General features: G+C 41.5%; 1 protein-coding gene across 15 annotated transcripts in view; it reads left to right on the forward strand.

Moving 5' to 3' along the window:
• Positions 1-16,648, forward strand: part of ABHD2 (abhydrolase domain containing 2, acylglycerol lipase) — a 161,358-nt gene that overhangs the window by 105,118 nt on the left and 39,592 nt on the right. For all 15 annotated transcript variants that reach the window (NM_001416423.1, NM_001416424.1, NM_007011.8 and 12 more), the window contains 2 exons: positions 5,562-5,737; positions 9,252-9,419. In NM_001416423.1, coding sequence (NP_001403352.1) covers positions 5,562-5,737; positions 9,252-9,419 — 344 coding nt within the window. The remainder of the gene's footprint in view (positions 1-5,561; positions 5,738-9,251; positions 9,420-16,648) is intronic.

The raw sequence follows: 16,648 nt of genomic DNA on the forward strand, positions 1-16,648 counted from the left end.
GTGCTAATTTGGTAGAGAAGTACAAGGGAGAATCAAAGGAAATAACAGTGAAGTCTGAGTTTAATCACTAGCTATAAAATAGTTTGATTTACAGCCAAGGAACTTAGGTACCATAAGGAAGAACTGGTCACCCACTGGTTTAAGGCAAAGATGAGCATCAGTCAACTTTATTTTTTCAACTCTCTTTTTAAAACACCAGCTGTCCGTGCCTATGTGAGCTTCATCTGCTCAAAGACGTACGTGTGTGTGTGTGTGTGTGTGTGTGTGTGTGTGTGTGTGTGTGTACGTATGTATATGGGGGGTGGGAGGGAGATCCAGACCCTTGTGGTCTTTCCCACTGACCAATTCTCTTAGTAAGCCAGATGTCGATTATAAATAGGCTCAGAAGATAAGGACAGGCTGGCCTCTATATTTTGTTGTGGCCCAGCTTGTTTGTTAGTAACAAACATTTATTAACCGCTGGCCACGGCACAACATTGGCCACAATACCATAAGGATTAGTAAAGAAGTAGAAGAGACTGTTTCTACTTTCAGGGAGTTAAGGGTAAAACATGCCCAGATGCTTCAACTCAAGAATAGCTTTAAAAAATACAGACAGAAAGACATGCAAATTAGCGTAGTAAAAATGGAATATTCTGTAAAACATGAAGAAAGCAATGAAATTTTACTATAGGATTTAATGGAGAGATGTACCATGTTTTTGGATGGGACACATCAGTATTGTAAAGGTGTCAATTATCTCCTAGGTAATATATATTTGTCGTGTTTCCAATCAAAAATCTAAAATTTTTATAGAACTAAACAAGCTAATCCTATAATTAATCTGGAAAATAAAATGCTGAAATCTGCCAAGAAAATTTTGAAAAATAACAAAGGCAGCCTGCGCTATCAACTATCAAAGTATCTCATAAAGCTATATTAATTAAAGCAGTGTCATACTGGCATATGCATAGACAAATAGATCAATAAACTAGAATACAAAGTATAGAACCAAATCTAAATATTTAATTGAGAACTTGGTGTATATTAAAGATGTCCACTGAAAGTAGGGAAACGATAGGCCATTCATTGTGCAAGGACAATGAGCTAGTCTGTCAGAAAAAAATGAATTATATCTTCCCTTCACATCATTTTATAAAAGTAAGTGGATTTAAGGTTAATACATTTTTTAAAACTATAGAAGTAATAGAAGGAAACATTGGGAATTATGTTTATAATTGGGTATTGCATAGCTCTTTTTTTTTTTTTTTTTTTTTGAGACAGAGTCTCGCTCTTTCGCCCAGGCTGGAGTGCAGTGGCGCGATCTCTGCTCACTGCAAGCTCCGCCTCCCAGGTTTACGCCATTCTCCTGCCTCAGCCTCCCAAGTAGCTGGGATTACAGGTGCCCGCCACCACGCCCGGCTAATTTTTTGTATTTTCAGTAGAGACGGGGTTTCACCGTGTTAGCCAGGATGGTCTCGATCTCCTGACCTCGTGATCCGCCTGCCTCGGCCTCCCAAAGTGCTGGGATTACAGGCGTGAGCCACTGCGCCCGGCTGCATAGCTCTTTTTAAAACAAAATGCAAAACACAAAGGTTTTAACAAAACACAACAAAATCTATTGTATATTTTAACTTTATCTTGTTATATAACCATAAAAGATACTTTTAACTATAAAAGATATTTTTATAACTATAAAAGATATTTTTAACCATAAAAGATTAAAAACTAGGGCCGGGCACAGTGGCTCACGCCTGTAATGCCAGCACTTTGGGAGGCCGAGAGGCTGAAGTGGGCTGATCACCTGAGGCCAGGAGTTCAAGACCAGCCTGGCCAACATGGTAAAACCCCATCTCTACTAAGAATACAAAAATCAGCCGGGCGTGATGACATGCGTGCCTGTAATCTGAGCTTCTAGGGAGGCTGAGGCAAGAGAATCTGTTGGACCCGGGAGGCAGAGGTAGCAGTGAGCCGAGATCGCTCCACTGCACTCCAGCCTAGGTGACAGAGTGAGACTCCGTCTCAAAAAAAAAAAAAAAAAAAAAAACTACATAAAATAAAGTTAAAATATACAATAGATTGGAGAAAACATTTGTAACATATGATAGATAATGGCTTAATGTAGGGATAATAAAACAATACTTATAAATCAATAGAAAAATAGACAAAGGATATCAACAGACAGTTCACAGAAGAGAAATACAAATGACTAGTAAACATGAATCAGCGAAATGCAAATTCAAACAAGCAACTTTTTTTCAACCATAGATTGGGTCAACCTTAAACACAAGTTGAAACAAGATACCCATTTTTTTGCCCATCAAAGTGGCCAGAATGTAAAAGATTAATAATGCCAATTATTAATGAGGGTGAGGAAGACAGGTACTTTCCTTCGTTATTGGTGGGAATGTAAATGAACCCATCTTTTTTAGAAGGCAACTTGGCAGTATCTACAAAATGTAAAACGCACATACCTCTCAGTTCCATCACAGTGCCTTCTGTATGCCCTCTCATCAGGCTTACAAGGAGGAGAGTGCAAAAGCAGCCATATCTCCTAAGGGCCAGGCCTAAATTGGCATGGCAGTCCTTCTGCCACCTTCTGTAAGCCCAGAGAAGCCACAGGCCAGTCCAGATCACAAGGAGGGAATCTAGCTCCCGGCAGAAGAATGGAATAAGTGGAATTATTGGCCGCTACATTTTCGAACTACCACATAGATAGAAAAAGCATATTCCTTCGTGTACCATTTTAGCAGCATTTCTTCAGTATTTATATGTTTATATAAATTTCAAAATATTCTATTGTTTTAGTCCATATTTCCTTCCTGACCTAAACCATGTGACTGGGCACCTATTCAGTTTTTTGTTTTTAAATTTTTTTCTTGTGGTCTGTGGATAAGTTATATAAACAAACAACTACACATTGAACCCCACCATAGTAAATGCAGTCTAAAAATTCAATTTTGTAAACCCTGGTGTTGTATTATTATGAAGTTAATTAAAAACAGTGTTTTATCAGTAGGTATTGTCATAAAATTAAACCTTTTGAGACTTCCACTGTGTATAATTGATCTTACATTGAACTGAGAAAGTCCCAAGTGATTGTGAGGCAATTGATCCCTAACACACACACACACACACACACACACACTCACACTGAGAATTACTGCACCCCACTCTGAGAATGGGGTGTTAGGTAGGCTGGAAAGAGGACAGTCGCCTAACGCCAATCATGTAATAGCTGAATTCACATTATTATGGCACATATTATTTTTAAATATATTTTTGTATATTTTAAAAACATATATTTGTCCTTTTAGATTTACTAAGTGTCTCTATATTCTGTTCATTGAAGCAAATCTCCCCCAGGTGTGTAATGTATGTCCAGTGCTCTGGGGATAGAGCTAGAGGTGAATGAGCAGCAGGAGGGGTTGGCTTGAAAACAGCATCTAAAGTAATCAAGTCACCTGGATGTTAGGACGGAGCTGTGCATGGAGAAGGGGCAACCCCCCCAGCAACCTGACTGGAAGTGAGTCTTGAAAGACAAGTAGTAGGTGGCCCAAAGAAACGCTGGGTGTGAAAGAGCATTCCAGTCAAAGGAGACAGCTTGAGCAAAGACTCCTCAGATAAAAGTAGTTCAACACCACGTGTACCTGTTCTGGCTGGAGTTGGGCCTGGTAGTTTAGGTTTATTTGAGCTTAGGCAAGAAGTTAAGCGAGTACCAGGGTGTAGCCGGCCTCCTAGGCCAAGTGAGGACCCATGCAGTGGAGGGTGGGGGCCAGGCTTGTGTGTTGAGATCACCCCTCCATTGGCGGGTGGATGATGGAGTAGGTGGTGAGAGCAAGACTAGAGGCTTGGAGGCCGCTTGGGGGGCTGCTGCCAAGATTTTGAGGAGGGGACCTGACTCTAAACTGGGAATGTGGCATCAGGACAGTCACATGTGTCATCATTAAATGTGAAATCTGTGACTAGACAAAAAGAAATTTTACTTCATTCTTTTGTTCTATTTTCTGAGATTATATTGTATTCTAAACATGATCAGAAGGTAGGCATATGAAATTTACTCATTCTTCTGATATTTTTAAGCTCAGCATATTTCCACTTTTAATTTATAAACAAAATTTTCTTTAAACTTTCCTCCAGGAGTGATCAAAAGCTTAATTTCTTGGATAGTCCTCTTCCTCTATGCAAAACTTATTATCTAACTTGGTAGTCTGAAATCCTTTATAAGTTCTGTATCTAGATCTTGTATAGTGTTTGGTTGTCCAATTGACATTTTTATAAGCTTGCTTTTTGTTACTGTCATAATCCACTCAGCTCTTATAAATGCCTTCGCCTGCCTTCCAAATGCCATGGCTTTTGCAGTGATATTTGCACCTGTGGTGTTACGCTGGCAAGTGGCTTCATGTCCTTAAGGTCTTAAAATACTCTTTCCCCTCCTCCCCTCCCCCGAAAAGGAAGCTTGTCTGGGAACTGGTTTGCTTAAGGTGATAGCTTCACTTCTCTTAACTTTGTGTAGATTTGATTAATTACACACACATACAAGGAGTAAATCAAAGATGGGTTTTGGGGATCATCTGGTTCTGAGAGAAATGATAGGCAAGTAGGTTAAGGTAAATTATTAATAAAACACTCACCACTGCCATATAATACAGAGGGGAATGATTGACGTCACTATCATTTTATATTATACGACTCCAGTTTATATAGGAGACAAATCCTGGACAACCATCAAGCTTGGGCTAAAAGCCATGGAAGTGAAACCAACAGCGGTTTCAGTAAATGCAGTCACCTTGTACTGTGGTTGTAAACCATAATCATTTCTTAGTTGTAACTTGGATCATCTTCTTTTCCTGGTAATTAACTATTTGTGATTTTTGCATTTCCTACCAACGCCTAGAGTCACTCTGTGTTTTTACAATGCACCGTTGTTAGCGAGGCTTCATGCCTTGCGTAGGCTAACAAGCCTTTATCCTTAATCAATCCAACAAATATTTACACTGCACTGCCCTTACAGCATATTCTCTGGAGCATAGAGTAGTGCCCTCACCCCACAAGGCACTTACAGGCTCTTAGAAGAATTTGCAGCCCTTCCCAGCACTAACTGAGAGTAGCAGGTTTGGCTAATGGAGTAACCACTACAGCTGTGGCCTGTCTCGTTAGGGAAAGAAGAAGTGAGCTTTTAGTGAGTGTAGGCGCTATGCTATTTCATATACATCAGCTCCTTTAATAATGAGCTAACCTGTCAAGTTAGAATGTGTTCAAAATATATCACTTGCTTTCTTTTTATTCTATATTATGGAAATAAGCCATGTTGAATTACTTAACAGTTACCCTAAATTGAAATCCTCTTTATATATATGTCCTGGTTGATTTCTAAAGCTAATCTGATGCAGAGTGTATTAGTAAATGGGGAAAGGCGGTAAATCATGGCACGGATGTAACGTAATAAAAGCCTCATGTTTATGCTTTGTGTGCAGAATTTCCCTGGAACAAAAATAGGTTGAAAGAGTTTTGCTAAAAGATTTTTCAGAACGTTGCTCAAGGAATGTAGAGAAAATTGACCTCCCTTGTCCTTTCTTTAGATACATTCCACCGTTGATCTGGGGGAAAAGTGGACACATCCAGACAGCCTTGTATGGGAAGATGGGAAGGGTGAGGTCGCCACATCCTTATGGGCACCGGAAGTTCATCACTATGTCTGATGGAGCCACTTCTACATTCGACCTCTTCGAGCCCTTGGCTGAGCACTGTGTTGGAGGTGAGCTGCTTTAGATTGTGTGATTGAGCCATCACTCAGAGAAGGAGCACTAGTCAGTGGAGAGCACAGCAGTGTGAATACTTGTGCCACTGACTCTGCCCATGGCATCAGGGGCTGTTGGGAAGCCTGCTGGGATTCGTCACTTAGGAGCAGCCTGCAAAGGTTAGCTTCAGCGTATGTTTGCCAGTCACCATGTAAAGCTCTTCAGAACTCATTGTAGAATAGTTTTTTTTTTTTTTTTGAGACGGAGTCTCGCTGTGTCGCCCAGGCTGGAGTGCGGTGGCACGATCTCGGCTCACTGCAAGCTCCGCCTCCCAGGTTCACTCCATTCGCCTGCCTCAGCCTCCCGAGTAGCTGGGACTACAGGCGCCAGCCACCACGCTCGGCTAATTTTTTTTTTGTATTTTTAGTAGAGACGGGTTTTAACTGTGTTAGCCAGGATGGTCTCGATCTCCTGACCTCGTGATCTGCCTGCCTCGGCCTCCCAAAGTGCTGGGATTACAGGCGTGAGCCACCGCCCCCAGCCGTAGAATAGGTTTTAATCCTGTTGTGAAATACAGAAGCTTGATGTACGGGGATGAGGGAGTGCTTGGAGCCCAGGCACCCCAGGACCAGGCCTCTGGGTTGATGACAGCAACAGAGGCCAGACCATTCTCAGTGCTTCGTGTATACTGTTATCTCATTTAATCCTCAAATAGCGCTGTGAGGCTGGTATTTACTATCCCTACTTTACTGATGAGGAAACTGAAGCTCGGAGATGCAGTATAGGCTGGCGTTTGTTGGATAGCAGTAGATTAAAAGGCTCCCAGGTTCCCTTTGCTTAGGTTTCCCTGGACAAATAGACACATTGAGGTCATATCTATCATGCAGTGGTCTAGGACACCTATTTCTGAGAGATAACTGAAATTTTCATTGCTGCTGGAATTTGGCATTGTTCTGTCTAGCCTATACAAATAGCATTCATTCTAAAATGCTTCATAATGAAGACTTTTGAGGAAGTGGAGTTACTACAAGCATCCTTTTGAATGCTATTGCTACCAAAAGAGAACATGTCTTTTGCATTCTATAGTATTCAAAAGCAACTTATTTTTTGTTTTTTTTAAATAGGAACTCAGTAGTTATTTATGGGTAAATTCCAGTAAACATATTAGGTATTTAAAGTGGCTAGAACTGCTGAGTAGCTGGTGACAAAGATTTAATTGATATTCCCTCTGCCTGGAATGCTGGTCCCCAGACCTTCACATGGCTGCCTCCTCCTTGTCATTCAGGTCTCAGCTCAGATGTCATCTCCTCAGAGGGACTGTCTCTGACTCCCCTAACTAGTGTTTCCTTCTCAGTAAATCCATCACGACTTCCTGCTTTAGTTCTTCGTGGTAGCTTCTACTCTCGAAACCTATTTGTGTGCTTGTGTATTATTTATCTGCTAGAATGTAGGAATCCCCAGAGCCCCGAATAGCTGGCTTCTAATAAACAGCCATGGAAGAGATGAATACATGAATAGGTGAGGAGTTCACACTGTGTTTATAAATCTGTAGCTGGTTTTTCCAATAGTTATTTATTCACCATACCCAGTTAAATGTTTTCTTTCCCTTATTTCTAATGCTTTTTCTTCTTCTACCACTAAAGCACAAAGTTTAGTTTGACCATCTGCTCTTCCTACCAGGACCAACATGGAAAGTTGAAAAGGGCAGAAGAGTGATTCTTCCTTGTACTTGCTCATGTTTTTCCATCACTCCTGCCCCCAGAAATGACTGACAAAGGTGCTTCTAGGGAAGGCAGTATTTGTACCTAAGATGTACTTTAAGAAAAACAGCTCTTTTTCACCTTTTCTGATTTTTTTTCTGACTATAAAAGAAGTACTGATTTTAGAAAATATGAATAATACATTTAAAAAATAAGAATCACCCATAATTTTGTCACCCAACATATATTATTAACGTTTTGTTCCATTTTCTTACAGTTCTATGCATTGTTTTTCCAAAATCTGAATTATCATATGTGATATTATAAAGACTTTCCCATGTATTAAAACTCTAAAAGTCTTCAAAAACACAATTTTAATAATTGCTTAATATTCTACAATGTGGTCATATTATAATTAAACCATTCTTCTATGGTTGGGCATTTAACTTATTTACAACTTTGTGATTATCAATAATTATATCATCCTTCATCAGAAAATTTTAGGCAGGATTTCAAGAATTGGAATTTACTAGGTCGAAGCTTATAAATTTTATAAAGAGATGGAGTCTTGCTGTGTTGCCCTGTTTAGAGGTACAGTGACTGTTTACAGATACGGTCATTGTGATCTACAGCCTTGAACTACTGGGCTCAAACGATCCTCCTGCCTCAGCCTCGCAAATGGTTGGAATACAGACGTGTGCCACTACATCCAACAGTTTACAAAATTTTTAAGGTTCTTTATGCATATTGGAAAATTGCTTACTAATTCACATTTCCCTACCAGCATTAAGAATTTCTAAATTTTAAAAATCTTAATTTGAAGAAAAATTATGATCAAATTTAATGACCTAAGCACCTCTTTTCTTTTAAAGAAAAGTATGTATTCATATTTTTAAGTAGGCAAGTCACATTCATGATAGAAAGTTCACAAGGTACTAACAGTATACAGTGAAAGTATCTCTCTCTCTGTCCTCTACTCTCCATCCCTACCCCTGCTCAGTGGTACCCACTCTCAAGGTTCTTGTGTGTGATTCCAAGATAGTGGATGCATTTGTAAATATAGATATCTTTTTTTTCTCCACACAAAAGGCAGCATTATTATAACCCCCTTCTGCATTTAGCATTTTTTCACTTAATTTATGGAAGAGCTTGCCACATGAGTGTATATAAAGATGTCTCATTATTTTTAAGGGCTTCATAATATTTCATCACTTAGATATGCAATAATTTATCCAACCAGACCCCTATTTCTGGGCATTTAGATTGTGTTCAGCCATATGCAAAAGAATATGTATTGCATGATTGAACACAACCTAATGCATATATATTGTTTTACATATGTACAATTACATCTGTCGGATAAATAACTGAAAGTAAAATTGCTGGGTCAAAGAGGTCTGTGCAAACACCACTTTTTATCTTCTCATTCATTCATTCATATAGAATTTCTTACAGAAATTAAGAGTAATGTTCAGGAACTTCTATAGCAATGTGACAGAGTAATTTTATATTTGTTGAATCTTATAGTAGAAAATTGAGGTTTGTATATTTTTCATTTCATTTTTCCAGTAATTAACTTCTATTGTCTTTTCAAAAGTATCTGTTCATGACTTACTGGACATTTTCAAAACAAACCCTTCACTATAAATAGCTTGAGAAGCACTGATATAGACAGCTCCAGCTAGAAGGGAAAAATTCTTCCCCAGAGAACTGAGTGAAAGATGTATGTTGAATTCCCTCCCCTTGTTTTCTAGACCAGTGAAGTGTAATTATGTCCATTTATCATGTCACATTTCTTGGATACATCAGGATCTCTTTCTCTACGCTATAGATGATATCACCATGGTCATCTGCCCTGGAATTGCCAATCACAGCGAGAAGCAATACATCCGCACTTTCGTTGACTACGCCCAGAAAAATGGCTATCGGTGCGCCGTGCTGAACCACCTGGGTGCCCTGCCCAACATTGAATTGACCTCGCCACGCATGTTCACCTATGGTAAGCATGGCTAAGTGGAGTCCTCCCTTTTTCTGCAAGTGTGCTACTACTTCTGCTTCTGCCTTGTTTTTTCTTTTTTTAAGTTTTAAACCTATGCCCATCTGCAAGAGATGGTAGGTCACACGGTTATATCAACAGCCAACTTGTACTGGGCATTGATGATGCCATGCCTCACACCAGCCTTTGAGATGGGCACTATAACCACCCTCACAGAGGCAGAAACTGAAGCTTACAGGGGAAAGTCTTGCCCAAGGTCCCCTAGCTAGTAAGAGTCACAGCAGGGCTGGGAGCCAGGTAGATCGGGTAGCAGAGCTCATGACCTTCAGGACTGTGCTGTTCTGATGCTCGTTCCTCAGGACTCTTGTGACTGACAGGCAAGGGTGTGATGAGGCATGTGAATGTCAGTGGGAAGGGAGCCTGGCACAGTAGCAACTCACTGGATTTTAGGTTCCTGGGGAACAGGAACTAGATCTCGTCTTTCGACGAATGCTTCTTGATTTGAATTAAAATTTTGTGTTAGCTGGGCCAGTTGTGGTGGCTCATGCCTGTAATCCCTTCTCTAGTAATTAATTTTTATTGTCTTTTTTTTTTTTTTTTTTTTTTTGAGACAGAGTCTTGCTCTGTCACCCAGGCTGGAGTGCAGTGGCACGATCCTGGCTCACTGCAGGCTCCGCCTCCTGAGTTCACTCTGTTTTCCTGCCTCAGCCTCCCAAGTAGCTGGGACTACAGGTGCCCGCCACCACGCCTGGCTAATTTTTTTGTATTTTTAGTAGAGACAGGGTTTCACCATGTTAGCCAGGATGGTCTCGATCTCCTGACCTCGTGATCTGCCCACCTCGGCCTCCCGAAGTGCTGGGATTACAGGCATGAGCCACCGCGCCCCGCCTTTTTATTGTCTTTTTCAAAAGCATCTGTTCATGACTTACTGGACATTTTCAAAACCAACCCCTCACCATAAATAGTGCACTTTAGGAGGCTGAGGCAGGTGGATCACTTGAGGTCAGAAGTTCAAGACAAGCCTGGCAATCATGGCAAAACCCTGTCTCTACTAAAAATACAAAAATTAGCTGGCACACGCCTGTAATCCCAGCTATTCAGGAGGCTGAGGCACGAGGATCACTTGAACCCGGGAGGCAGAGGTCATGCCACTACACTCCAGCCTGGGCAACAGAGCAAGACTCTGTCTGAAAAAAAAAAAAAATCCTGTTTTAGCTAAGGTTCTGGCTTCTGGACTGCTTGTTCTTGATTCTTATTAGCTCTCTCTTTAGATTATATATGTATACATAAACAATAAACACATAAAATATGCATCTGTATATGCACAAATATTTGGGATGTTATAAGCAAATAAATTGTAATATGTTTTAATGGGAAATAACTAAAAATTATATCTATCATCTCACCATAACTATAATTTTCTATTTCTTCCAACTACCCTTCTGTCTTTATCAATGTCTACATAGTTTTTATTTATTGCAGTCATAGCATGTATATCTATGGTGATTTATTTAAATAACTCTATATTCACCAACATAAAGATGTTTAATCTGTTTAAGAGCCACATTGCTGTTACTACTCTGTTATAGTTTATTTAACCATTTATCTTTGTAGGACATATGAATTATTTAAAGTTTTTCAGCATTTTAAATAACAATGCTGTAAATACTGTGTCTTGTACATAGAATTATTTTCTCTTGAATGACCTTGGAGTAAATGCCCAGTAAAATTGCAGAGTCAACATTTTTTTATGCATATTTGTACATCTTGTCAGATTGACCTCCAGCAAGGTCATTCCAATTACGTTGCCACTGGTAACATGCAAGGGCACTGTCTCCTATAAGGGCAGGTAAGGGAAGGTCACAGGTATGGAAGCATGAACAGGTATACCTGCTTTGTGCCAAGCAGGGTGTTGGGTGCCCTGAGTTCATTTCCTCTTCTGTATTCACACCCACAGCTGAAGATACCCATTTTACAGACTCCGTTCTGTTCAGCAGTTTGGTCAGTAGCTTGAAAATATAGGTGAATTTGGCCGAGCGCAGTAGCTCAAGCCTGTAATCCCAGCACTTTGGGAGGCCAAGGCAGGCAGATCACGAGGTCAGGAGATGGAGACCATCCTGGCTAACATGGTGAAACCCCATCTCTACTAAAAATACGAAAAAGTAGCCGGGCGTGGTGGCGGGCACCTGTAGTCCCAGCTACTCGGGAGGCTGAGGCAGGAGAATGGCGTGAACCTGGGAGGTGGAGCTTGCAGTGAGCTGAGATCGCGCCACTGCACTCCAGCCTTGGTGACAGAGTGAGACTCCATCTCAAAAAATTAAAAAAAATAAATAAATAGGTGAATGTCCAGATTTACAGATAGCACAGGCACAGGGTGAATAGTGAGTATGTGGGAGACAGAATTGGACCCAAAAGTCAGAAATAGGCCAAATCAAACACAAAGAAAACAATGGGGAATAATGGTAATGTCCTGTGCTTGGATATATAGATTGTCTATACAAGTAGAAGATGGGGAGGCATGGCTTGGCTGCAGGGCCAGGATGGAGATTTGGGAGCACTAACAGTACAGTGTGAACACTTACTGTGTGCCAGTGGGAACACTTAATGTGCACCAGACACAGTACTGATGTCACATGTAGGCACAATCTCTTTTATCTCCACAGCAACCCATGGGACCGTAAAATTCTGATGAAAAAACTGAGGCATAGAGAGGTTAAGTGATTTGGGCAAGGGCACAGAGCCAGTAAGTAGAAGAGCTAAGAGAGGAGCCTGGATCTGGCTGCCGGAATCATCTCAGAGATAGCAGAGTAACTGGGTCTGTATAGTCTAGGCCTCCCAGCTCCAGAGTGCTGTACTGTTGGGGCTGTAGGCCAAAGAGACCAGATTGGAAGGCGTTACCACACCAGGTCAGGGGAGACCAGCAGCTGAAGAGCAGAGAAGAATAGGTTAAGTGCAGGCCTTGCTCCCAGAGAGTACCTGGGTCAGGAGACAGGCTCTGGATCCGATGCCCCAGCACTGCCACTGATGCTGTGTGGCTCGAGCAGTTTCTTAAACTCAGTTCCAGATTCTTCAGCTGCAGTAAGGTGGAGCTACAATTAAATGTGGGTTACTGAGGACTTGGTAGGCAGTTGATTACATATAGTAAACATTTATTGTATGTTAGGTTCATTCTTTTTGTTTTGTTTTGTTTTGTTTTTTTGAGGCAGAGTCTCACTCTGTCACCCAGGAGGGAGTGAAGTAGTGCAATCATGGCTCATTGAAGCCTCAACCTCCCAGACTCAAGCCAGCTTCCCACCTCATTTTTTAATTTTTTGTAGAGACAAGGTCTCACTATGTTGTCCAGGCTGGTCTCGAACTCCTGAGCTCAAGTGATCCACCCACTTCGCCCTCCCAAAGTGCTGGGATTACAGATGTGAGCCACCGTGCCAGCCAGGTTTATTCTTATTCAAATACTTGAAGGTATATTCATGTTGGTGAGAGATTAACCGTGCTGTTTGTGACCCAGATAAATAAGATGTGTTCTGCCAGGGAGATGTGAGTGTCGTTAAAGAATTACAATACAACGCCGGGCACGGTGGCTCATGCCTGTAATCCCAGCACTTTGGGAGGCTGAGGTGGACAGATTACCTGAGGTCAGGAGTTTGAGAGCAGCCTGGCCAACATGGTGAAACCCTGTGTCTACTACAAACACAAAAATTAGCCAGGCATGGTGGCAGGCACCTGTAATCCCAGCTACTTGGGAGCCTGAGGCAGGAGAATCACTTGAACCCAGGAGGCGGAGGTTGCAGTGAGCCGAGATCACACCACTGCACTTCAGCCTGGGCAACAGAGCGAGACTCCATCTCAAAAAAAAAGGAATTACAATACAGTGTGATGAGTGGACTAACACAGCGGGCCTGGTGAATGTGCTGCAGCAGCATGGAGAAACCAGCCTCGATCTATGGGCGAGGAGTCAAGTTGTGGGAGGAAGAATTCTCCCAGGAAAGGCATTTGAGCTGGGTTCTCAAAGATGAGCTCCTAAACAGAGGCACTCATGAACAGTTGGAGTTTGTAGACAGGGGAGTGCGCTATGGAAGGGCAACCCATGCAGAAGAGCAGCATTCACAGCTGCCTTAAGAGCACTGTATGTTTGGACTGAGGAGCTGCCTGTGAGCATGAAAAACCCTTGGAGATGAGGTGAATCCATCAGGGGAGAGCTTCAGGCCCCCAATTTTGAAAATTAACTATCTCCTTCAATTTGTGGATGGTGTTGTTACATTTTATTTCATCAGAATTTTAGAAGTAAATTTCTGTAGTTTATTATACTTTAGAAATGTTCTAGAAAGACAGGTGACCTAGAAAAAAAATGGGTGTCTTCTTCTAGCCATACTATTTGTTTTTTTGTGTGTATCAGTACATGTTTTACTTGTTAATAATTTCTTTTAACCATTGGAGGATAAGCTCAAACAAATAGGACCTTAAAAAGGTCAGAAATCCAGAATTTGGATGCTTTGTTGAAATGTAAAAATTAAAACATCTTTCGTAGCTTCAAAGAGCCTAGAGAGAGAAAGCGCTAGTGTTTCGTTAGGTGCTATTGATGTAATTTTAGTTTAAAATAAAGTTTTTAATAAATGTTTTCCTGGGCTGGTGGAAAAGGAGCAATCCTTCACCAAAGGTGGCCTAACACGTTAGAGCAAAGCCCGTGTTTGTTACTTTTGACTGGTTAATTGAGGCAGGTCCACAGTTAACATGCTAGAACTGGAAACCTTTTATCATAGTTAATCATATCCTCATGTAAGTGTGTTAGTTGTTGATGTGTGGGCTTTCTATACTTTAGTACAAAGATCTTTGTCAACTTTTGTTTCTACACCCAGTACTGTTCTCAATTTTTAATTATTGTTGCCTTGCAATATGGCCTGATATCTGATGGTACCAACCCTGACTCATGGCTATTTCAGAGTATGCTCTTGTCTGCCTACCTGTTTTTTTTTTTTCTTTTTTCATTTGAACCAAAGAATTATTGTGTCCAGTTCCATGTTGAGTTTTTGTCTTATTAGTCAAGATGGACTAGATTATGCTGTGGAAACAACTTGGATCTCAGTGGTTTAAAGCAATGATTTCTGTCCATACTATCCATCCATTATGGCTTAGCTGAGGGGCCTCTGTGTCTCCATCATTATGGTCCTCACTCAAGGAACCAGGCCCATGGAGCAGCTACCTGCTGGAACATTGCAGAGGGTAGGAAGAGTGTGGCTCTTGAAGCTTCTCCTCAGAAATGACAGAGGTCACTCCTGGTCACACTTTATTGGTCAAAGTACAGTACACGACCAAGCCTAACTTCAGTGGGGTGGGGGAGAAGCATCCTTCCTAGAGATGGAAAGTAGTTATTGGTGGTGAACTCTCGCACAGTTTATCACAATTTCTGAAGGGGAACTTTAATTTATAAATTAATGTGGAAAAATTTATAATACTTACTTTTCTCATCCAGGAGCATGACCTTTTCCTTCAAGTCTTCCTTTATTTCTACCTAAAAGAACTCCTAGTTCTCTTTGTGTAGGTCAGTTTGTTGTCAACACTAGAATTTCCCATGGGAGCTTTTAAAAGATACCTGTGCCAGTGGCTTAGCTCTCCGGGAGTCTAAGGTATAGCCAAGGTTTTTCAGAGCCACAGATACAGGTTTTACTCCTTGTTCCCTCATTAGTTTTATTTTTGCTTTTTTACTTTTTATTACAGACATTTCAAAATATGCAGAAGTAGGGAGAATAGTAGAATAAACCCCAGTGTACCCTTTACCCAACCTCAACAATTGTTCAACTCATGGCCCATCTTGTTTCCTTTACTCCCTTCTGGCATCCCCTCTCAAAGATTATTTTGTTTTATTTTAATTTAATTAATTTATTTATTTTCTGAGACACTGTCTCACTCTGTTGCCGAGGCTGGAGTGCAATGGTGCAATCTCAGCTCACTGCAACCTCTGCCTCCCAGGTTCAAGTGATTCTCCTGCCTCAGCCTCCCTAGTAGCTGGGATTATAAGCACCCGCCACCACACCCAGCTAATTTTTGTATATTTAGTAGAGACAGGGTTTCACCATGTTGGCCAGACTGGTGTCGAACTCCTGACCTTAGGTGATCCGCCCACCTCGGCCTCCCAAAGTGCTGGGATTACAGGCGTGAGCCACTGCACCCAGCTTCAAAGATTATTTTGAAGCAAGCCCCAGACAGCCTGTCCAGTTTCATCTGTGACTATTTCCAGTGTGCATCACTAAGATACACAGGCTCTTTGTAAACTGTCTTCATTTGTTAGGACTGCAATATCCAAATACCACAGTGGGCGTGGCTTATACAAGAGCAATTTATTTTCTCACCGTTCTGGGGCCTAGAAGTCCCAGATCAGGGTGTCAGCAGGGTTGGTTTCTTCTGAGACCTCTCTTCCTGGCTTGTAAATGACTGTTTTCTTGCTGTGGATTCACACTACAGTCACCTGTGTCTCTGGTATCTCTCTGTGTCCTAATCTCTTCTTAAAAGGACACCAGTCATCCTGAATTAGGGCCCACCCTAACAACCACATTTTGGCTTAATTACATCTTTAAAAGCCTTATCTCCAAATATAGTCACATTCTGAGGTACCGGGGGTTACGAGTTCAGCATATGAATCTTGGGAGAGACACTATTCAGCCCATAACATAACAGAAGCACAATGGCATCATCACAACGGAAACACTTAAAACAGTACTCCTCAAGAGCAATTCAATTTCCCCATTGTCTTCCTGCTTTTTTTCCCATTTTAATTCTTTTGTTCAATTTAAGATCCAAGTCAGGTCCATATATTGCAATTGGCTGATAGGTCTCTTATGCCACTTTTCGATCTCCTTCCACGCATTTTTAATAGGTCCCCAACCAAGTAAGCCTCTTCCAGGTGGGGTCACTGGATGTGACATTGGAGGAGCTCTCTGGATCCCCAGGACATACTGCAGTCCACCATCAGGCCCCCTATTCCCACCCTGAGTGTATGGAAATTCCAGGCACTGAACTCCAGTGCCTGCTAATCCCAGGACTGCCCAGGTTCTGTTTGGAAGGCCCTTCTGTGGTCTTCACTTGGCTTCTCTTTGTCACTCAGGTCTCAACCAAGATGTCACCCTCTCAGAGAGCCCTTCCTTGACTCCTCTCCCTCATCTAAAGCTCCCCCCCAACCCCAGTCATTATCTAATGCCCCTCCTTACTTTCTTCAAGCCACTTAAGATTTGAAATTAAGG

The sequence above is a fragment of the Homo sapiens genome, chromosome 15 (genome assembly GCF_000001405.40).
Source record: "Homo sapiens chromosome 15, GRCh38.p14 Primary Assembly".
In the NCBI taxonomy this organism is placed as follows: domain Eukaryota; kingdom Metazoa; phylum Chordata; class Mammalia; order Primates; family Hominidae; genus Homo; species Homo sapiens.